The sequence below is a fragment of the Homo sapiens genome, chromosome 1, assembly GCF_000001405.40.
Source record: "Homo sapiens chromosome 1, GRCh38.p14 Primary Assembly".
NCBI classification, from domain to species: domain Eukaryota; kingdom Metazoa; phylum Chordata; class Mammalia; order Primates; family Hominidae; genus Homo; species Homo sapiens.
In genome coordinates, this window is record NC_000001.11 from 53,288,463 (window position 1) to 53,310,904 (window position 22,442).

The following is a 22,442-nucleotide window of genomic DNA, read 5'->3' on the forward strand; positions in this document are numbered from 1 at the left end:
TGGGGAGGCCAGGAGCAGCTGTACGAGGAAATGAGGGCTCCTTGTCTCGGGTGGGGGCCGCTCTTGCTCTGTTCTCTCTCTCTCCCTTTCTCTTTCTCTTATGTGGAGACTGGTAGCTCTGTTGCTAGGAGACAAGGAAACCCAGTTATCACCAGCCACGGCGTTAGATGGGACTCCGGTCTCCATTGTCCCCACCTCTGCCTCTGGGACGACTGTTACCCCTAAACAGGGGCTCCTGGGTCCCCGCCAGCCCCACTATCCTCCACATGCTTTTGCCTGAGCCTTTTGTCTCGGGCTCACGCTGCTGAAGCTCTGCCTCTGGACTGCTGGGTCCTTCCCCGCCCCCTTCTCATCTCCTTTTTAATTTAACAAATGTCACAGAATGACCTGCCGGGTGTAAGTTTGCTTTGAGGATTAGGGCCTGGAAAATAAATCATGGAGAGACAAAGCCCTGAGTGTAGGGGGCAGGCCTGGGGCTCAGCTCTGGCCTCTACCTCCCCCTGCCTGCCTCTGCTACCACCCAGCTGGCCATGGAGGCAGGAGCTCCTAGGCTCAGCCCACCCAGGGTAGAGGAACGGGCCAGAGCCTCAAAGTCTTGGCTGGGTAGCCTTGGGCAAGTCACTCAACCTCTTTGAGCTTCAGTGTTCTCCGTTACAAAACTCAGAAAATGACAGTATCTGCTTCATGAGGCTGCTGTGGTTATCAAAGGCATTAATGCACACAGAGAGCTTAGCACACGATAAAGGCTTAAGAAGCACCAGCTGCCACTGGCACTCCTGGAATTATGGTCGGGGTCCTCAAGAACAGCAGCAGGGAGGCCTGGAGGACACGCTAGGGCTCCTTCTGGGCAGAAGGGCTTGACAGGGCTGTTTCTAGCTCCTGCTGCCACAGAAACAGGGTCCAACCTACAAGAGGGCTGTGAAGAAAGTCCAGAAACAGGTCAGTAGAAACCAGCAACTAAATATATCTGTTTACCAGGAGCGCCCTGAGTGCGTGGCACAGAATGTTCAACTGGTTACCTCTCCTGAGCCTCACAGCCTCTCAAGGAAGATCTGAGGAGGAAACTGAGGCCCACCCCCACCCAGACTGAGGGGCAGGACTCACTGCAAGTGGCCTCGGACTCATCGGAGCCATCAGGACACTCCTCCTCGCCGTCACACTTCCACCGTTCGTGGATGCAGTGGCCGTTGTCACAGGTGAAGTCACTGTCTGCACAGGTCTTCTTGGCTGCAGGGCAAGGAAGAGAGCGTGGTGAGCCTGGGAGCAGTCAGGAGGGTGGTGGGCCGACCAGGATGTGCTTGGTCTGCAAACCAGGCCATGGACTGCCTTGCTGACCAAGGGCAGAGGACAGGAGAGACAAGCTTCTTCATTCCTTAGGCATCTGAACACTGCGTGAAGACAGGTGACATTCTGCTCTGCCCTCCAAGTCCAAGAGCTCAAACCCAGCAAGCATGACAAGATTTATCATACCCCACCACACTCCTGCTTCCCCTCAATGTCTAGTTCCACTGCCACTGTCCCCAGGAAGCCTTCCCTGATACCCTACAGCAGCTGCCTTAGCTCCTTCAGCCAGTTCTCAGTCTCTTTACCTGCCTGTCCCACTTTCCCCAACTGGACTGGAAGTCAAAGTCCCTTCTGCAGGCGCCAGGGGAGTTTGTGATCATGAATCCTACACATAGATGATTCCTTTGTGGCAAGATGAATGACGTATTTTGTGTTCAGAGCAGTCGGAAGAGGATCTACTGGGCAAGACACCCAAATCAGTCCCTGCCCCCCGGTGCCTACAGCCTGCAGGGTGACCTCCACACTGCTCTGGGGATCTCAATCCCACTTCCTCCTCCTCCTCCTCCTCCTATCTGTGTGACCTTGAGGATGTTCCTTAATCTCTGAGCCTACATTTTCTTATCTATATAATAGGGAGAAGAAGACAAAAGGCGGTGAGGAGGAGCAACAAGAAGTCGTAATGTATGAAGAACCTGCAGCAGACTCAGGCACATGGCAGATGCTGGAGAAGTGGCAGCTACTGTTGTTTTCAGGGTTTGAGTCTTAATTAGAAGCTGAAGGAATGGGGTTCTGTGTCCACACAGGGGATGTAGCAGGCTGAGAGCTCACAGCTGGTTACGGAGCTGAGATAAGAATGCAGGTACCATCCCCAGCCCGGTTCTTTACTGCCTTCTGTGTCTTGTCCTACGAGGAACTAGAGTTTCCAGATCAATGAGAGGAAACAGAGATGGATGCCCATGTCATAAGGTGCCCCAGCTTCTTCCCAAGCAGCAGCACAGCACTGGGCGCACCTAGCAGGCCCGGGGGAGAGCAGTTGCCCTGTCAGGACTTCCATGGGGGAACTGAGGCTGCCTGGCTACCCCCAGTAGGTGGTGGGGGTGCGGGGGTGTTGGAGACCGGGAAGGGGCCTTGAGCGCTCCACCCCTGACATCCTGCACCCTCTGTAGCAGCCCTAGGCCTCTGAATTATTGGGGGCTCATCTGCATCAAATCTGCATTGAACTCACACATGCCCTGTTCCTGCTGGACCAAGCATCCAGGACCCGCTACAGAACAAGGTGAGGAAGAGAGCACTGGGCAGGGAGTCCGGAGGTCTGGATTTGAGACACTGCTGTGCTATTTTGCTCTGTATCCTCAAGCACATCATGGCCCTTTTCTGGCCTACAGCTTCTTCATCAGGAAAAGAGAGGGTGATCTGGTGAGAGATAAGCTTTCAGGTGTGGTAGTTCGAGACCAGGAGGCCCAGAAATGAAGACGGCAGGGGGGTCTCTTTTCAGCCTAAAAGAGGATACCTCAGCACAGCAGTGACTTACCCCAGGCCTTGGGGCGCTCAGACCACCAAAGTCCTCCCCTGGAATGAGCTTGGGATGGATTTAACATCAGGGGCCACTAGGATGTGGCCTCTCCCCAGGGGCTTAGAAGTCCCGTGGCCCCAGCCTGCCCCGCTCCCTCATCTTCCCCTCCTCATACTTCCCAATCTAGCCCCACCTCAACTGCCGGTGGGTCCTCATATACTCCATGCTTTTTATACCATCATACCTTGCCCAAGCTGTCTTTAGTCTGAAAGCCCCTTCCCCCACCTCTCACCTTCTTTCCATTACACACTGGGCTTAAGTATCACCTCCAGTCTTGATCAGTAGCCTCTCCTGAGCTCCTACAATCCCCTGAATGTCCTTCTAGGGCAGAGGTTGGCAAACTTTTTCTGTGAAGGGCCAGATAGTAGCTATTTAGGCTTTGAGGGCCAAATGGTCTCGGTCACACCACTCAATCCTGCCACTATGGGGCAGAAGCAGTCAGAGACATTAGATAAATGAGTGAGCATGGTTATGTTTCAATAAAACTTTATTTACAAAAAACTGGTGACAGGCCAGGCCTGTGGCCTGTATTTTGATGACCTCTGCTCTAGATCATCACTGATTGCGAGTCCAACATGGTTTGCTTTCTTCCCTGTCCCTGCAGCACAGAGACTGTCAAATTCAGCAAGAATCCAGCTTGGGGTAGGTCTCAGTGCGGGACACTGAGCTAAATGCGAGCACAGCCCCCCAGCCTCTGCTCCATACTTACAGTTCTGGGGCTTGCCTTCTCCCTGGGAAGCCACTCCCATGGACCACCTTTATTCAAATCTACCCACAGGCCCTCTGGGTGCTTCTGGGGCTGCAGGCCTGCTCCCCCTCCTCTGGGGAGCCTGGCAAGGATTTGGTGAGAGAGACTGTGTCTCTGAATCTGTTCCATGTCTGTCCTTCTCAGTGGAATCTTTGCAGTACATCTGCATTCTAAGATGAGTTTTCTTCACACTTTGCTTAGAAGAATGCCTCTGTACGTGCAGAACTAGAAGAAACCTGAGGAATCAGAGTCCACCTTCAGATGGGTAGATTGAGGCCCAGAAAGGGAAAGGGGCTGGCTGAGGGAAATACAGCATGGCAGGGATAAGAACAGCTCTCCTGCCTCTCAGCCCAGGGCTCTGGAGAGGCCCTCCCTGTTTCCTGCACTGAGAGGTCATCGTCAATGATAGATGCGAATACCACCTATTGGTAAATCATAGTCCATAATCATCTTAAAGTAAGTACCAATATGAACCACAGCACCTGGGGAATTTCCTAATGTGAACACCAGTGGTTTTCCCCCCACAAGAAGCTCAGCATCCAAAAAAAGAAACGTATATCCTAGTTTTCTCTTTTTCTCGTTCTAACACTCACTAGGTGCTTCCTCTGTGCCAGTCTCTGCCAGGTGTTTTTACCCAAGAAACCTCATGGCAGGGGGCCTGCTATGTACTCATTTGACATATGAGGAAATCCAGACCCAGAGATGTTAAGTTACATGTCCAAGGTCACAGCTGGGGGGAGCAGGGTCACAGTCTGAACCCACAGTCAGATGCCTGCTCATCTCCACCACGGCTCCCCAGTCAAACATTCAGCAGTACCAAATGTGGAAGAAAAACCTTACAGCAGGTGGGAAAGCCCTGTGCAAGCTTCAGTTCCACATTCAATGAACCTTGCTTCTGTTCTACGTTCTGCACTGAGAACACAGAATCAGCCCAGCCCAGTCTCTGGGAATTAAGAGCAAGTAGGCAAGTCTGGCAAGGATGTGTGGTCAGACAGTGCCCAAAACAGCAGGGCAGGCTTGAAGAAGGTGATGATGGGGCTCTGTTGCTGGGCACAGGACAACCAGATACCCCCCAAAAACCCTGCCCTCCCTGGGATTCTGAAAGCCTGGGGGTGATCTTGTCCTCCTCCATGTGCCAAGCCCTGGCAGGCACTGGGCAAGGAGGCCAGAGCAGCCAAAAACACCACTGCTGTCCCAAAGGGCAGCTTTGAGGTCAGCCCCGCCCAGGAAATGGCAGCTGCAGGGAGAGTGGTGTTTTTGGCAACAGATTCGGTGGTGTTTTTGGGAACAGATTTGTTCACTGGCTGGACCAGCTTGGAGATTTTCCACTCTGGCTCTGGCCTGGCACCTTTCACCCAATATCCCAGTGACTCCTCACAGCTATCTTGGTAGCTGTTGTTATTAATCCCATTGTACAGAAGAGGAAATTAAGGCTTAGAGGTAAGGGTGTTAGGTGGCAGAAGTGTGATTTCAACTGTGTGTGGCAGCTGCCAAAGCTTGATCTCTTTCCACTCAGACCCTCAGCCACCTCAGTGTTACCAGGCTAAGAATGAGGACCCCAGAGAGTCCTCAAATGTACTGAAACATCTCTCAGGTCTCCTGGAATGTGCCCAGAAGTGTGCAGCAGAATAAACCCAGGCCTGGGACGGCTTTTGCTCTGCTAATGGACAGCACTTTCAGGGTGGGGACTAGACTAAAGCACGCTGGAGGGCCCCATTGGAAGTGTGACCATATGGAAGGATCTGGAGTCAGAGTGGAGACTGACTCCTGGCATAGCCACCTCGGGGTGAACCTGGGCAAGTGGGGATGTGGCTTTCCCATGCAGCTTTGTCACAAGGACAAAAGGCAAAAAGACTCTTCTGGGGGATCCTGGTGAACACCCAGTGTCAGGCCGTTCAGTGCAATGAGCCCAATAGTCCCTCGTGAAGAGACCATATCAGCCCTGCCATGAGATGAGGGCTGTGCCGCCATTCTAAGGCTGTCAGAGAAAGCCATGCCAGACCCCTACTCTGCTGGCCTTGGCTCTGGTTCCCAGGGTGATTCCCCAGCTGGGCTCAAGGCCATGGCTCCCTGTTTCCAGGGATTTATGTCCCCCCATGCCAGTCTGCCCCTTGGACAATGCCCACCTCTGTGAGTCCCTCAGCCCAGGAGTGATACATAGTCAACCAGGGTCTGCGACATCATAATCTGGTGCCATGGCAACAGATGGGCTGCCACAAAGGACTAGGGGATTCTAGGGGCAGTGAGGAGGGGCTGACCCCAGGGTAGAGTAGGGGAGAGTGGGAAATCCAGGACAAAGGAAGTGGGAAATGCTATTTATAACAAGAACACGGGCCAAGGAAAGTGCCAGACAGTCCATGGTCTATCAAACTGCGCCCTGCCACTTGTAGGCTATGTGACCTTACACAAGTTACAGGACTCCTGTGAGCCGCACTTTCTTCGTCTGCTTCACGGGACACACAGGGTCATTGTGAGAAGCAAATAAGCTAAGGATGGCCCCAGGGCTTTATGAACTGAGAAGCAAAAAGGTGCAAGTTAGAGGTGTGTGAAGTCACAGCCCTGGCCCCAGCTGCCGTGTGTGTAACACTGGGCCCATCCGTCAAACCTTCTGAGCTTGCCTCCTCCTCATCAGGAAATGGAGGTGTGGCGCTGACTAAGTCTTAAGGCCCTCTCCACACTCAGTGTCTGTGATCCTGTGAAACTGTTAGAATCACTCAGCACTTCTTGGCTTCCCCCGCCTCCAGAGACATCCTTCCCTGAGACAGTATACATCCTTCCCATGCTGCTCCCCACCCACACGCATCGTGGAGCCCCGGTGCAGAGAGAAGGCTCCAAAATAAAGATTAGTCCGGGCTGCCCAGGGGCACTGCTCTGTGCAGCTTCCTCTTGGCAATCCGAATGTCCTGCCGTGTTGGACTCCAGGGTCTTGAGGCCCCCTACGTGGGTCTCCCATGTTACATGCCTGGAAGCCAAGGCCTAGTGAGAAGTGACTGCTCAAAGCCACAGCACATGTCTGTGGGAGGGCTGCACTTGAACCCAGGTAATGACTCCCAATCCCACTTTGTAGCCAGCAAGCCAGGCGAGGGCCACCTGACCTGGCCCAGGGGTCAGGGAAGGCTTCCCAGAGGAGGGGCACTGTGTTCAAGGAAGAGGAGTCAGCCAAGCTGTGGGAGTGAAGAGAGCAGGGAAGAGCATTCCAGGAGGAAGGATAATGGGGCTTAGGGGCATGGAGGAGCGAGCAGAGTGACCATTAGGGGCTGGGGACAAGGCAAGTGGCAAGGGACCTGGAGCTCCACCAGGCCAGGGAACAATTGACCCTGGTGGAGTTGTTCACCAAGTTGTGCACAAAGCTGCCCTGCAGAGGCCCAGCACAGGGGCCTGGCTTTCCTTGAGCTTGCCCAGGGACCCATCCAGCCTCTTGCTAAACACAGGGCTGCTCTCCAGCAGCCAAAAAAACCCAGGGCTCCAGGCTGCCAGAGCTTCCTTTGGGATTTCGTGAGGCCATGCAAGACAGAAAATCGGCCCTTAGCAGAGGAGGGGAGGGGTAGGGGGCAGGACAGAGCCCAGGGGTGGCCATGCACCAGGATATTTGGGATAGACACTTATTATTTTCCCCCTTGGAGATGCATGATGCCCACGGTTTATAAAGGCCCTGGGAAGGACTGCAGTAAAGATATCTGATTGACGGTTTCCTCCAGCCTTCCAAGCTTGTTTAACCAAGGAACTCCTTTTTCAGATGCCACATCTGTTTATTTCCCAAGAAACAAGTGGTCCAATGAACCACACCTAGGAAAACACTGCTGGGGCACAAGCCTCTCATCCTACAGATGATTAGATGAGGTGCAGAGAAGGGAGGGACTAGCCCGTGTTGACACAGCAGCCTGGTAGTTGTACTTAGCCGTCTGTCTCTGGGCCAGCCCCACTAGGCCATAAAAAATAGAACAAAGTGTTCACAGAGCATGGAGCCCAGAGTGAAGCTGCAGGGACCCCACTGGAGACCCCAATCCTCAGAGCAGGGACACGTCTAGAGAAAGGCCCTGGAAAGAACAGAGAGAATTGATACCCAGCCACCTAGGACAGGGAGATGAGGGAGCTGTCAGCCTTACAGGCTCTGACTGATCTCTGGTTTCTGTGGACAGGTCTTGGGCTCTAGAGAATGTTCTCTGAAGGCAGAGCAGCGACCCCTAAGAAAGGTGGATTCCAGCTCAACATTGTTGTTCAGCAAGCTGGGGCAGGTTCTTTCCCCTCCTAGGGCAGTTGAGAGGCTGAGAGCAAAGGTAAAGCCCCTAACTTGGAGAGCTGGGTGCACAGAAGGGACTTGGATGTTCCCACTTCCTCTCCCAGGCCTGGGCCAGCACAGGGTGGCCTGGCTCTGGCCCTAAGGCAGTTGGGCCACTTGTACCCGGGTCGGGGAGATGAAAGGGCTGCTCCCACCAACAGTTACCCTTCGACAGAGCTCGCCATGCCCCAGCGTTGCCAAGACGACCGCTTCCAGCAGAATGCAGATCCGGGGTGGGGGCAGGGGGCGTGCCAGCCCGCCCCTGGCCTACTAACCTGGCAGGCAGATTTAAATGACAGTCCAGGAAGCTACTATTAAACTGTCACCCCAGTCAACAGGATGACAGACCCAGAGTGTTCTCTGGCTGCAGCAACGACAGAGCAGTAATGAGAGGGGGAGGAGACCGTGGCCCAGAGCAACCTGCACCCCACCCGGGGGCCCTGGCCTGACGGCCGTCCCACTACCAGAGCCACCCTCTCAGGCTGTGGCGGGTCCTGGCATGGAGCTGGGGCTCAGCACAGGGCCTGGAAAACTATTTTTAAGCAGAGGAACCCTTTTCCCAAGTGAACCCCCAACATATAAGACAGATTAAAATGGAGCTGCACGGTTGGAAGTGGTGGTGGGGGTGATGCCCAGAGCCCATCGCCAGCAGATCTGGGGTCCAGCAGCACTGGATTCAAATCCTCCATCGCCAGCAGATCTGGGGTCCAGCAGCAATGGATTCAAATCCTAACCCCTCCCTGGACATGTGATGTTCCTAAAGCCCTCAGTTTAAAGATCCCGTGGGTCCATTATAACATTGCAAACAGCTTCCACATGGCTCTGCTTCTGACACTCTAGGGACCTACGGTTCTAAGGCTGTAACACTCTGATTTGCACCCTAAGCCCCTGTGACAAGACTCCATGACAGCTACCGCCAGAGTCGGAGATGTCGATAAGCTGCGGATGGCAGCCTCTGATGCCTTCCCTGAAAGGAACTGTTTATCTGAGTCCAGAAGTCCACATGCGGACAGTCTCTGACTACTCAAGGCTCGGCGGTTCCCAGAAGGCGAACGGTTCCCACAGTGTCCTGACAGTAGGGTGCAGGAGCCAGCACCCGCGTGTGGTGGGCGGGACTCGGTGCGTGGCTTTGTACTGCCCAGCGGGCTCTGGGGCTCAAGCCACCATCATCCATCAGCAGGCGACATCTAAATTCGCCCTCTCCCCCACCTTCCCATCCCACCTGGGGAGACTGAGAAGCTGCAGGTGCTGAGGAGGAGGGAGACACACGAAGGGCTCCAGCCAAAGGATTCACCCCATTCGGAATGAAGAGGCTGCAGCGGAAGGAGCACTTTTTGGTGAGGGCGGCTTTGCTTTCAAATCGGGAAGAGTTTCCCTCAAAATTTTCTGGGTTCTCTCCTCCAACCCATTCCACTAAGGAGTTACACAATTCTAACCAAGCCAGATCCTAAGACCATAAATCTATTTATTTCCCAAGAAACAAGTGGTCCAAACATGAAACAAGTGGTCCACCTTTGCCCCAAAACACCAAGGCATGAAAATGAGGTTGCAAAGATCAGGAGGCCCGAGGAAAGACAAAATGGGAGGCAGCAGCAGGGCCCCCAGCGGTGGAAGGAGTGTCACCCCTTCCCATTCTGGGCCTCAGTTTCCTCAGGTGAACACATCTCTAAGGGCCCCCTCCAGCTGACCTTCTGGATTAGTGACCCCGTCACACGGAGGGGTTGTGGATCTTGGTGCTGTTCCAAGTCCTTCCAAAGAGGTCATCTGGGGCTTCCCACAACCAAGCACCTCCTCCAGGCCCCAGTACATCCCAGCTGCTCTCAGATACTGCCGGACCCTGGCCCCACTGTCACCAAGGGAGGCCCAAGCCCTTGCTGGGGTATGTAGGCCTCCCTGTCACCACAGGGAAGAAGAGCGTCTCCGAGGGACAGACCGACAAAGGCGTCTTCCTGTCCCAGTGATTTGTGGTTGCAGGAGGTATTGAACGAGTGACAGCTGAGGGGCTGGGAGGAGGTGGGTATGGGGGAGAGGTGGGCAGGATGGGATCAGCAGGAGTCCCTGGCTGGCGCCTGCAAAGGGACCAAGCATTACGCAAGGGGTGCTGCTGAGAGCAGGCAGCACGCTGAGAAGATGACCACGTTCCTGCCCTCTCCCAGGCTCCAGCCAGCCCCACCCTGGGTTTTGGCACTGGGATTGTGGGTTCCAGAGAAACAGCTAGAAGAAAACTCATGACATTCTTAAAGTAGAAGCTTCCAGAGGCCAGAAGGCAAGGCCAGGAGACCCTTTAGGCCCTCCAGCCAGAGTCATTGCCAGGCTCCCAGCCTCACATTCCCCTTCCACTCCTACCCCAGTGGAAACGTGGCCTCCTCTGACCAGGGCACCTTCCTGGCTAACCCCAGCCAGGCCCCCTGGGGCTGATGGGTCCACAGCTCCGCCTCCCTTGGGCAGGCTGACCTTGGAGCTTGCCAAGGACCCCTGCATTCCAGGCCCTGTTCTTGCCACCAGCCCTCTGAGGGAAGGAGGGGCAGCTCTTCCGCTTCTTCTTTTGCAGTTGAGGAGAAGGTTCTAGATCTCATTCCAGCCCTGCTCTGCCACCAACACGCTGTGTGACAAGGGGCAGGCCTCTCTGGGCTCTCGGCCCCCACTAACTGTAAGTGGGAAGCTCAGGGCTCCCAGAGCAGAACTCTGCAGCCAGGGCCAAGGAGGCCAGGCCCGAGGGATTCAAGAACCCACGAGGCGCAGACACTCCTCTGGTGGAGCGAATGATTGAGTGATGACCCCTGCCTGTGTGGAGCGAATGATTGAGTGATGACCTCTGCCTGTGTGGAGCAAATGATTCAGTGATGACCCCTGCCTGTGTGGGGAGGGGTGGCGGGTCCCTGGCTGCTACCCACAGGCAGGCAGGGCACTCAGGCCTCTGATGTCAGCAGTGGGTCGCTGCAGCACCCTCTCCTCTGCCCACCAGGTAGAGACTGCACACACTAGGAAGCAGCCCTGGCTAGTGAAAAACGCAAATGCTTTCACCAATTAGGCTGGTAGGAGAAGCATTTCCTAGCAGGAGCCTCACTGGCCCATCCCGGTGATAAATGGGCAGCACCTGTTATTGGGAAATCCATCTCCTGGTGTGGGACTGCTGCCTCTCTGGAGTGCTCCTCTGTGCTGGGCTCTGGGCTCCTCACCAGGGAGTGTGTGGCAGGCTGTGCCCAGGAGGCTGGTGTGAGCTCTCTGCCACCCCCAGCCTCACATTGGTCATCCAGGGAGCCTCTGCCCACCTGTGCCCACCTGTGTGCCCAGCAGAAGGTCTGCAGGTTAAAGTATCACTCTGTGATATCGCTGAGGCCTGTGCAGGGAGTCTGCTGGCTTTTCTGGAGAGAGGTTAAGAATATCTCACTGAGAATGGAGTTAGCAATGGGCCGTCTGCCACTCCTGGCCTGGAGGGCCTGGCTCTGCTCTGTGGCCTTGATGTAAGTCTCTGGCCTTCTCTGTGCCTTGCTCTCTTCTTTCATGGCATGGTGAGTTGGATGAGATAAGCTCTAAGTTCCTCTCCTTTTTAGGTATGGTTTTACCCACCACCAGGCCCAGAGTGGGCTGACAGAGGGAGGGAACTGTGGCTTGGTCCCCAGTCCCTTACAGTCCACTCCTGTGGCTCCAGGGGCTACAAATCCAGAGCCAGTAGTCACTGTCCTACCAAAGTCCTCTCCGTAATCAAAGAGCCATCTTTCCTTGCCTGCTGGCTTCCCATCTCCCCTTGAATATGACCAACTGCCTTAGCAGGGCACTCAGGAACAGTTCAACCTGCCCTGCTACTGCTCTGGCCCATCCCTGGCCATCACCTGCCTCCAGTAACCACTCAATGGTTATGGACAAGCCATTGGCCTTCATACCAGGTGCTTTTGCTCACGCAGCTCCCCCAGGCCAGAAGCCCTTCTTCCACCTCCATGGGCAAAACTCTCCCACCCCTGATGGCCAGCTCAAGCATCAGCTGTTCATGGTGTCTGACAATGCCCCCATCCAAATGCCCCCACCTCTGACAGAGCAGAAATGAGTGGATCCCAGCCCAGGGCCAGCCAGGGCCCACAACACCAAAGGTAGGACGTTAGCAAGCTCGAGTCTCCATGGGGTGCTTATTTTGCTGCTGTATTTTGGCAGACCGACCCAGGCAGTGCCTACGGGAAGCCCCTTCCAGGCTGTGCCCACCCTGGCCGTCAGTGCTGAGATGAAGATCTGCGGCCCCACTGGCCAGGGGAGACCTCAGGAGCCATCCACCAGACCGGACTAGGCTCAGAAGTCATCCCAGCAGCTCAGTAAGCCAGTGACACGTGGCTCGGCCACTGTCATAAAGCAGGGCTCAGGGAGATGCAAACCCTTCCCAGTCTCCTAGTGAAAGCTGGGCCCTCGGTGTGAGAAAGCCCTTCACAGGGCTTCTCTGGGGAGTTCCACAAAGCCCTGCCTGGGTTCCAGACCGTCTCAGTAGTTTGGGCCTCGGGAGCCCTGGCTACCCCTCCAGGCTGCCCTTGACCTCTGGGGTGACATTGGACATGCCCCTTACCCTCTGGTGCCTCAGCCTCCTCACCTAGACATTGGAGGAGTCAGGTTTTCATGTGTACCATTCAAAGGCCTGCCTGGGTTACCTCACAAGGTGAGAGTGAAAGGGACAGAAGGAGGGTGCTCGAGGTGTGGGGGGTGGGGTGGAGTGGTGTGGGCCAGTGTAGTCAGCACCCGCTCCGGGAGGGGAGACAGGTGTGCTGCTGGGTGATGCGGACAGCAGAGCACGTGGCTCAGGGCAGGTGCTCAATGGAGAGAGTGGAAGGGCCCTGAAGCCAGGGGCTCCTGAGAACCTTCGGCTCAGAGGTGGGGATCATGGGGGCATTGGGGAACAAGGGAATTGTCTGATTGGGATACTCCCTGAGCCCAAGAGAAATCTAGCAGACTGGCCCTGGGTCCTTAGCGGGTATGGAGTTGAGTGACAGGTTTGAGACTCCATCCCCAGTCCCTCGGCCTGGCTCCTCAGGGCAGCTGTGAGGTGGGTGTGAGGCAGAAGCCACCACCCACTTTAAGAGATTAGGAAGCAAAGACCTTAAAAGGCATGAACTGGCCAGGCATGGTGGCGCACGCCTGTAATGCCAGAAATTTGGGAGGCCAAGGCAGGCAGATTACTTGAGCCCAGGAGTTCAATACCAGCCTGGACAACATGGTGAAACCCCATCTCTACAACAACAAAAATACCAAAAAAAATTAGCTGGGCATGGTGGTACACATCTGCAGTCCCAGCTACTTGGGAGGCTGGGGTGGTCGGCTGGCTTGAGCCCGGGAGGTTGAGGCTGCAGTGAGCCATGATCATGCTACTGCACTCCAGCCTGGGCAACAGAGGGAAACCCTGTCTTAAAAAAAAAAAAAGGCATTGATTGTCCCAAGGTCATGTAGCTTGAGGCAGGACCAGAACGCAGGTTGTTTCATCCCGAATGCTGTGCAAGCAAAGGAAAAAGTGAGAGGTGGACCTTCCTTCAGAGAGTCTATAGCCAAACTGAGGAAAGGAGAACCCCAGGTGTAACAGCCACAACCCAGAACAAAAGGAGATGCGTCTTGGTTAGACTCTGGGGTGGTGACGTCACTCATCTCCCCTCTCTGGACCCCAGTGCCTCAGCTGTAAAACAAGGACACTGACCTTGGTGGTCTCCAAGCCTGCATCTCCCTTGCCTGTGAGTAAGGTCTGCTGGAGGGAGAGGAGGCAGGCCTGGGGAGGGCTCACTGCCTGGAAGAGAGACATTTTAAGCTGGTCCTCAAAGAAAGGGGGTGATTTTGGCTGGCAGTAGTAGGGGCTGAGGAAGCCTGCCCCGAGGAACTATGTTTGATCCAGAAGGAAAAGGTGGATTCTGAAAGCAGATGGAGAAGGCTGCTTCTGGCTTCTCAGTGCGTTTGGAAGGAAATGGGGTCCATTCTCTGAAGCTCTTTAACCGCCCCAGGATTGGTTCCAACAGGGAGGTGTAAGCGTGTGGTCCACAACCCCCACCCAACAAGCAGATTCCCAGCCTCGGGCTCACGTTAGACCGGAACCTAACATGATGTGGGCTTGGAGACCACCAAGGTCGGTGTCCTTGTTTTACAGCCGGGGCACTGAGGCCCAGAGAGGGGAGATGAGTGACGTCACCACCCCGGAGTCTAACCAAGACCCATCTCCTTTTGTTCTGGGTTGTGGCTGTTACACCCAGGGTTTTTGTTCCTCAGTTTGGCTATAGACTCTATGATGAATGTCCACCTCTCGCTTTTTCCTTTGCTTGCACTGCATTAGGAATGAGATGACCTGGGTTCTGGTCCTGCCTCAAGCCATATGACCTTGGGCCAATCAATGCCTTTTTTTTTTTTTTGGAGACAGGGTTTCCCTGTTGGCCAGGCTGGAGTGCAGTAGTATTTCAGCTCACTGCAGCCTCAACCTTGCAGGCTCAAGCCATCCTCACACCCCAGCTTCCCAAGTAGCTGGGACTGCAGGCGTGCACCACCACACCCAGCTAATTTTTTTTTTTTTTTGGATTTTTGTTGTAGAGACAGTTTCATCATGCTGCCCAGGCGGCCTAGAGCCGTACTACAGCAGGTGATCCAGAGTCAGGGCCTGGGAACAACCTGTATGATTATAGGTGAGTGACTTAACCTCTCAGAGCCTCAGCTTCCTCAACAATAAAATGGGGCTAACCACCTCAGAGGGTGGGAATTAAGAGAGGTTGTAATGTTGAAATTCATGGTGAAATTGCACATCACCACAAAAGCAGGTAGAGCTCTTGTCAATCATGCGGCTTATTTCTTACCACCACCACTCCCCCACTGCTCCAGCTTTCCTACAGGGACTTTGGGGAGAGCTGGGTTGCCTCCCCGTTCGAATGGGAGAGGGCCGGGGGCAGACAGGCAAGGGGCATGGCTTAGCTGGAAAAGCATCTGGGTCCAGTGAGGTGGTGGGGAGCAGCCAGTCCTCACAGGGCCTGTGGGAGGCTCTGGTGGAGCCAAGGGGGCTGCAGGCTGAACACACCTGGGCCCCAGGGCCATGTGGCCCAGCCCTTGGATTTCATACATGAGAAAAGGGGCCACAGCAGCCTCGCGCTCCCATGGCAACCTCAGCAAAGCAATTGCACTCCTCCCAAGACCCAGTCAGGAACAAAACTGCCGCTGAAGAGACTGGAGGAATCATAAGATAGTCTTCGAATCACAGAACAGAATCTCCCTGTCTCAGGATCTGAGAATCGTAAAACACACAATTTACAAGTACTTAGGCTCATTCCGTTGAACGTTAGGACCAAGGAGCCACAGAATCTTTCCAGTTTTAAATCACAAATCTTAGACTCACAAACAGAACAAAACCCTAGAAGCTTCTAATCTAATCCAGGCACCAGGAGTGGCAAAGGCCTGCCCCTTTCCCCCAACCCCCACCAGTGCTGGAATCCTCTGTTCCCACCGCTGACATATGGCCATTCGCCCTCTTGAATGCTCTCAGCGACAGGGGACTCAGTCAGCCGTGCTGGCTGGAGGCTGAACACGTTCCTTCCTCTTGAACGGGGAGGGAAATAAGCTCTCAACAGGAGATCCCCACTTTGTACAAATGGATTTTTCACCCCTCCTTGTTCTTTGGCTCGGTCAGAAAGACTCCCAGGGAAGTGGAAAGGAGCCAAGAGCTGCCATGAAATGACTTTACCCAGCAGACAGGCTGGTGATAGGTTTCGGTGGGAAAAAGAAAGGAAAGGGGCGATGAATTCCAACTTGCTGAGCGATAAAGGAAATTAAGGCATAATACCGAGGAGGCAGCAGTTCTATTAACCTGGGTGGAATACCAATTACTCCAGCCTTCTCAACATTGCTCCAAGTGAAGAGAAAACCCCCAAAGAGAGTGTGATTGTGGCCCAGGGCTCATCTGGATTAGACTGTTTGTTTGCCCTGGCACCCTAATGATGGGAATGAGGGAAAATTCCCCGTTTCCTGGGAGACAGCCATGCCAAAGTGGGGGAGGAAAGGCAGGCCCACGCGCAGCCACTGGACTGCTTGGCAAATGCTCAGGGCAGAGGGGGTCCCCAGGCCCACTGCAGAAAGGCTCAGTGAGGGGCCACCAGCAGCCTCCCCTCACCTGGCCCTGTCCAGGACACCTCCTCTGGTCCCATGTTCTGGGAAGGCCAAGCTTCTGCTGACTCCTATGCTACCGGGAAAGTCTCAGGTCTCTGCTGCTGGAAGCCAAAATAATCAAGCAGCAGGCCAACTGTGCGTGAGGGACCCTGCTAGATGCTGGCACGCCCTGCAGTTAGGTAAGACCTTCGGAGGTGGCCATGTCTCCAGGTGTTGGTTCTGGCAGGGCCGGGGTTCAGGGCTCTGGCCGGGACCACCCACCCATCTGAGGCCAGCCCCAGGGCCAGCAGTATGGGGATGGTTCATGGCCACAAGCCCCAGCTCAGCACCTCCAACCAGAGCTGGGCAGAAGGGGACAGACATGGCTGTGGGAGGCAAGAAGAGGAAAGGTGTGGGGTCATGTGCCCAGCAAACCCTCACCGCCCACTGGCATCCTGGCCCAGACCTCAGCCACACCGGCCACTTCTCAGAGCCCCTTACAGAGGGGTGCCCATCAGCCTAGGGGTTCTGAGCCAGCATGGCTCCCCCAGTAAGACAGGTCCCACTACAGCTTGAAGAGGAAGCCACTTTTAAACAGCCTGCCCAGTGAGCACTGCTGGCTGCCTGAAGATGATTCCACTCACCTTGGTTTTTCCTGCAAGTGAACCTTCCTCCCAGAACTAAGGTTTGGAAGATCCCAGTCTGCTGCCTGACATGGCCATTCTCCCACAAAAACAGGTGAAGGAACGCAGGACTCAAATCACGCCTTTGTCCCTTACTAGCTAAGCGACCTCAGGCAGGCTACCTGACCGCTCTGAGCCCATGTTTCCTCATTTAAAAATGTGGTGGTAGATCCTGACTCGGAGGGCAGTTGGTTGCTAGATCACGTCTATCAGTGCCCGACATAAGGGATGGCACACAGAAAATATTCAGTGACCGAAGTTCCTCCTCCCTTTATCCCAGCCGCTGTGGCAGCCCCACCACCAGGCTTTGTACACAGTGAGTCCTTAAGAGGTTTTTGTTGCAATTTTTAAAGGGCATCTGGAGGCCTAGCCTCTGTCATCCTGGGCCACCTGGTTCTTCTGTGACTTGTTTTCTCCATGTATAAAGTAGAAGGCCTGTTCCTTGGAGAAAAAGGTCAAGGCGGGTGGAATTATTACCTGGCAGCCAGCGGGGCTCACAGTGCAGGCTACTTCAGAAGCCTCGTCCCTGGCTAACACCACAATGGTTATAACGCCAAGCGGGGCAGCTGAGACTGGCCCACCTGGACACACAGGCAATGAGTGGAGGTCACAGGAGGTCTGGCCACCAGCTTCCCTGCACCTCCACCCCTGCCCCCACACTAGTCTCTCCTCAGCCCCACAGGGAGCCAGGGGCCTCTAGAATGGCCTCTCCTCCACCCACGTGCATGGGCCCTGGCACAGGAGAGGCGCTGAGGAGGAAGCTGGAAGGCACCCAGCCACCCACTCCAGGGTGAACGGTGAGCCTGCCCAAGCATGAGCTCTTATGAGGCCCAGACTGCCAGGGGGCCAGGGTGTCTGAGGCGCACACATTCCTCACTCTCTGGGAGTTGGGAGTGGAGGACCCTCCTCCCCTTCTCTATTCTATTGGGAAGCTTTCCACGACCCCATGTGGGATCAGAGACCTCTTCTGATCCACAGCCTCATCATCCTGTGTTGGTGGCACTCAACCATCTTTCTCTACCAGACTAGCAGCTCGGTGGAGGCAGGCACTGAGGAAGCGTGTGCTGAAGGCATCGCATGCAGGCAATCTGGAAGCCTGGGGCTTTTCCATCTATACAGAATGTACAGCCCAGGACACAAACCCTATTTACCCTCCAGCATTCTGCATACCTAGGAAAAGCAGTAATCATTGAAGCCTTGCTTCAGATCCTCCATTCATGCAGGAAGTGGGGCTCTGGTCTGTTCTAGTGCTGTCTAGCTGGGTGGCACTCCCACATCCTTTTCTCCAGGCATGTGAACTAGCTCTTGTGTCCTCTTTCTCTTGCCAAAGACAGTGGTATGGTACCAAGGAGAACAGAGCCAGGGGCCAGGAGGCCTGGGTTTTGGTCCCAGCTCTACCCCCCGAGCTGCTGCGTGGCTTTGAGTAAGCCACTCCCCCTCTCTGGGCCTCAGCGTCAACACCAGTTGAGGGGTTGGATCCCACTGCTCCCTGGGTCTGTTCCTGCTTTACTTCACTGCCATGAGCCATGTGTCTGGGGCTGGAGTTGGAGGAGAGTGCTGGCACCAGGCAGATGGTTCTGAGGACAGGTTCAGAGTCTGCAAGGCTGGGAGGGCACCTGCCTCTGTCCTGGGTCCCACCTCCTGGCCTGCTCCTCAGGAAACCCTGGGACACATGAACTTGGGCCTCAGCTTTGGCTCTGATCGTATTGTGATGCCATCTCTGGGCCAGGCCCTCATCTGTCTACATCACCTCACCTCATCTCCTGGTTTACGAAGCCCTTTGTATATGTCTCCTCATTTAGTTCTTACAATCACCCCTGAGGTTCAGAGAGGGACAGGATGGGCCCAGGTCACACAGCAGTCAGAGGACTATCAGGCCCAGCATTCTCCAGCAGCCCTGATATCTCCTCCTTGAAACAGGAAGAACACAGGATGTGCAGTGGGAATCCTGACCTTGCCCCCTGAGCAATACTGAGTAGGGGGGGTGGTACTCTCTCAGAACCACTTTGAGCCACCATGAAAATCTAACAGCATAAAGATGCCAAAAGCATAGGTGCCAGCCAGGGCAGCAGCCCGCTGGAACAGAAAGAGCACCACGCAGGGAGCCCCAGAGCCCAGGCTCCAGTTTTGGGTTTTCCCATCTGTCAAATGAGGGCAAGGATGCCTGCCCTGCCTCACCCACTGAAGGCCAGCTGTGCACTTGCCACACTTACCCCGTCCCACCTTCTACACAGCTGTCTGTGCCCACCACCTCAGCCAGGAGGAGTCACGAGCCCCTTCCCTATCTGCACACAGCTCAGCCTGGCTCACTGCACCAAAAAGGCAGGCCTGAGCATGGACCACACACAGAGGTATGTTCAGACAGACGTGCAGACACTCAGGCACATGCACACAGCGCATGTACTTGCAGATGGGCACCCGTGCATACAGCAAGGCACACACCACCCACTTGCACACTCAGGTGTGCGCCACATACTGAACATACTCAGACACGCATGTCATGCTGGACACACACTGCAGCACACAGACCGCATACCCACACATGCACAGTTGGCTTCATATGATGCTCACACACTGCAGACAAATATGCATAGATTTTCTTGCCTCTCCCATGACAGCCAGATGGTGGGATTCTCCCAGAGGGCTGCCATTTAATGCTCTAATTAATTTTTTAAAATTCTAGGTACCCAAAGCCTGGGTTTGTTCAATTGGTCCAGGCACGACCCAGTCTGAGGCCAAGGCGGGAAGCAGGACCTAGGACGAGGGTGTCCCACTATACCCAGGAGAGGCTTCCCCCTCACCTGGTGAGTAGATACCTAGCCTAGCAAGGGGCTGGGGTCACAGGCCCAGAATCTGAGCCTGATCCTGGTTCCAACAGTGCTCCTATGACCCAGGACAGGGAGAGACCCCTTCCCAGCAGCCCTGGCGGAGTGGTCTGGCCCCAGGTGCACACCTCAGGATGCAGGGCGCTCAGTCCCTGCGGAGGCTGCTGGCTCTCCTATCAGACTGCACTGCAGCGAGGCTTTCCTGACATGGAGGTGGGCTCGGGGCTGCACATCCAAATCCAAACACACCTTTGCTGAGCCCTACTGTGCAGGGCACACTTCAAGGCACTGTGGGAGGACAGCGCAGGGAACGGGATGTTCACAGAGCACAGAGCTACCAGAGAGTTAGTGCTGAGACAGTGCTCACCGCATCTCCAGGCAGTATGCTCCGAGCAGGCCAGAATTTCATTCTCACCCAGGTCTCCTGGGGAGCCCCACCTTATTCTCTAGGCCATGAGGATCCTGGGGGGTTCAGGCTAGCAGGAACCAAGCATCACTGGCCCTCCAGGTCTCTCCTCTGCCTTTCCTGGGGCACCGTCTTTGCTGCTAAATGTTTGGAAAAAGCAGCAATAAATTTACTGCCTCACTTATGAGCAATTTGCTGTCAGGAGCCATGTGTAAGCAGAGGGCTGAATTAACAAGGCTTAATTAACATTAATGTGACGGATCTCAAGTGAGTCGGGAAATCCCCCATCCTCACCGCCCGGACCTTGCCTGCTGATTCCCTGCTCATGTGGGAGGTGAGAGGCCCAAGGAGGGCTCTCAGAGCTGCTGACAGACGTGACTGGGGGCTGGAGGCTTGCAGGAGATCAGCACAGGAAGCCAGAGCCTCTGCAACTCCAATTCCAAAGGAGCTCTCACACTAAGTCCTTTATCCCTTGCCTGGTGCACTGGCTAACACGTGGACCTTGGAGTGCAAGAGACCCGCTTTTAAATCCTGCTGCTGCCACTCCTATGCTACGTGACCCTGGGTGTTTCCCCACCTCTCTGTGCCTCACCATCTCTATCAGTAAAGAGACAGGACAGATCCCCCCTCAGAGGGCTGTTAAAGGATCCATGGGCCGGGCACGGTGGCTCACACCTGTAATCCCAGCACTTTGGGAGGCTGAGACGGGCAGATCACCTGAGGTCAGGAGTTCGAGACCAGTCTGGCCAACATGATGAAACTCCATCTCTACTAAAAATACAAAAATTAGCTGGGCATGGTCGCAGGCGCCTGTAATGCCAGCTACTTGGGAGTCTAAGGCAAGAGAATCACTTGAACTCAGGAGGCGGAGGTTGCAGTGAGCCGAGACCATGCCATTGCACTCCAGGCTGGGCGACAGAGTGAGACTCCATCTTTAAAAAAAAAGAATTCATGAAGTCATGCATGGAGAGCAGAGGTGCTTCCCACCCCACTCCCCATAAGCATAAGCGTCATTGATGATAGTGCGTGGGGCTCATCATCTCATTTAATCTTCCCAGCCAACAGCCCTTTGAGGTAGGGCCTGCCAAGACGCCCCTGTGCAGAAGAGGAAACCAAGACACTGAGAGGGGAGGTGGCTCATCCAGCCCACATGCTGTGTGACGTTGGGGGAAGAGGCTCCAGTCACCCACTACAGTCACTGGCAGGAGCCCCTTGAAGGATCCAGAGAGCCACGGTGAGGGGAGAGGTCAGGCTGCGGGGCCATGCTGTGGACCAGTGTACCCTTGGACAGTGGGCATCTCGTCAGAGAGGCCAGGTCCCTGTTTTTCAATGACTAAGGCATTACTAAGCTGCCCCCTGAGGGCCCAGCCTGTGTCAGGCTCCGGGGATGAGATAAAGGTGGTGAAAGCTGTGCCCCTGCTCTCAGGATGGATTCCACCTCCGACTCCTCTCAGCTGTCCCCAGGGCACCCAGCCCAGCCCTGGCACGGGGCAGGCACACCTTCATTTATCATCAGTGATCGCCGTTATTCATATGAATGGGAGGATGCTTCTGAGCAGAACCAACTTTGAGCAGCAGCAGAAAGGAAGCCCAGCCCCACCCACCTACCCCGACGCTTCACCAGAGATGGGAGTCCCCACGCCCCCAGCCATAACCCTGCACGTCTCGGATCACTGGACTGACCTTTCCTGTCAGTTTAGCGGCCTTGAGCTCTGCCCCGGAGCATACCCACACCCTGGCCTTCAGGGGGACAGGAAGGGCTCTGGGCCCCAGGTTCACAGGTCTCACCTCTGGGACTACCCCAGTTGGAGTCTTGGTGTCAGGGATCCATTTGGAGACAGCATGGGGAGAGGGAAGAGACGGGCTGGGGCAGGGGCAGGGGCAGATTCCACCTCCAGAAAAGCCCTTGGGCCCCTCCTCAGCCTTGCCCCCTCCTGCCAAGCCCCCAGTATCCCCAAGCCCTGCCACAATCCCATGCTCCAGGAGGTCTTCCTCCAGCCCACCCCAGCCCACCTCCCACCCTCCTGACTCAGATGTTCTGTCTCCTGCTAAGCCGTGTGACCTGGAGGAAGTCATTTTTCTCCTCTGTAAATGGGGGATGAGAACTACCTGCCTTACAGGCTGATGTGAATGGAATGAGATGCTGCCTGGCACAGTGAGGGCTCCATATGTGACACCTATGATTACTGACAACCCAGAGGTTAGTGCAGTGGAGACCCAGCCGTGCAGGAGCCTGTGAGGAGCTGGGCTGGCTCAGAGGTCTCTGGTCTTTTCTGCGCTGCTCTGAGGACGCAGGATCAGCCAGGGTGTCTGTGTGGCCCCTGTGGCAAGCCTGGGAGCCATGGAGCCTCTCGGGAAGAACCAGAAAGAACTTCGTTTCTGAAAATCTTGGAACCAATTGTTGTATAAAGGAGTGAGGCCTCCATCCCAGGAGGTATGCAAGCAGGGGGATCCATTCATTCATTCAACAAGCATACAATGGGCCCCTCCTCTGTGCTGGGCCCTGTGATGGGCACTGGGGGGTTGGGAAAGAGTGCATGAAAGCCAGTCCTGCCTGAAGAAAGC

At 55.2% G+C, this 22,442-nt stretch overlaps 1 protein-coding gene and 1 long non-coding RNA gene across 5 annotated transcripts in view, besides 5 other annotated features; one reads left to right on the forward strand and one right to left on the reverse strand.

Annotated features, from left to right (window-relative positions):
• The window catches only part of LRP8 (LDL receptor related protein 8), an 85,707-nt gene that overhangs the window by 46,099 nt on the left and 17,166 nt on the right, over positions 1-22,442 (reverse strand). For all 4 annotated transcript variants that reach the window (NM_033300.4, NM_017522.5, NM_001018054.3 and 1 more), the window contains exon 3: positions 1,105-1,227. In NM_033300.4, the coding sequence (NP_150643.2) occupies positions 1,105-1,227 (123 nt within the window). The remainder of the gene's footprint in view (positions 1-1,104; positions 1,228-22,442) is intronic.
• LOC105378726 (uncharacterized) lies at positions 2,050-20,994 on the forward strand. Its single transcript, XR_007066090.1, has 6 exons — positions 2,050-2,143; positions 2,451-2,560; positions 2,670-12,188; positions 14,425-14,516; positions 19,330-19,450; positions 20,936-20,994. It is a non-coding gene; the product is annotated as an uncharacterized LOC105378726 (long non-coding RNA).
• Positions 6,089-6,630: an enhancer, noted in NCBI's record as "H3K4me1 hESC enhancer chr1:53760223-53760764 (GRCh37/hg19 assembly coordinates)". NCBI's record gives its function as "activates a minimal SCP1, AML or CMV promoter by ChIP-STARR-seq in naive H9 embryonic stem cells {active_cell/tissue: H9 hESC(naive)}" and the evidence as "EXISTENCE:reporter gene assay evidence [ECO:0000049][PMID:30033119]".
• Positions 6,631-7,171: an enhancer, noted in NCBI's record as "H3K4me1 hESC enhancer chr1:53760765-53761305 (GRCh37/hg19 assembly coordinates)". NCBI's record gives its function as "activates a minimal SCP1, AML or CMV promoter by ChIP-STARR-seq in primed H9 embryonic stem cells {active_cell/tissue: H9 hESC(primed)}" and the evidence as "EXISTENCE:reporter gene assay evidence [ECO:0000049][PMID:30033119]".
• Positions 19,305-20,122: an enhancer, noted in NCBI's record as "H3K4me1 hESC enhancer chr1:53773439-53774256 (GRCh37/hg19 assembly coordinates)". NCBI's record gives its function as "activates a minimal SCP1, AML or CMV promoter by ChIP-STARR-seq in primed H9 embryonic stem cells {active_cell/tissue: H9 hESC(primed)}" and the evidence as "EXISTENCE:reporter gene assay evidence [ECO:0000049][PMID:30033119]".
• Positions 20,837-21,338: an enhancer, noted in NCBI's record as "H3K4me1 hESC enhancer chr1:53774971-53775472 (GRCh37/hg19 assembly coordinates)". NCBI's record gives its function as "activates a minimal SCP1, AML or CMV promoter by ChIP-STARR-seq in primed H9 embryonic stem cells {active_cell/tissue: H9 hESC(primed)}" and the evidence as "EXISTENCE:reporter gene assay evidence [ECO:0000049][PMID:30033119]".
• Positions 21,339-21,838: an enhancer, noted in NCBI's record as "H3K4me1 hESC enhancer chr1:53775473-53775972 (GRCh37/hg19 assembly coordinates)". NCBI's record gives its function as "activates a minimal SCP1, AML or CMV promoter by ChIP-STARR-seq in primed H9 embryonic stem cells {active_cell/tissue: H9 hESC(primed)}" and the evidence as "EXISTENCE:reporter gene assay evidence [ECO:0000049][PMID:30033119]".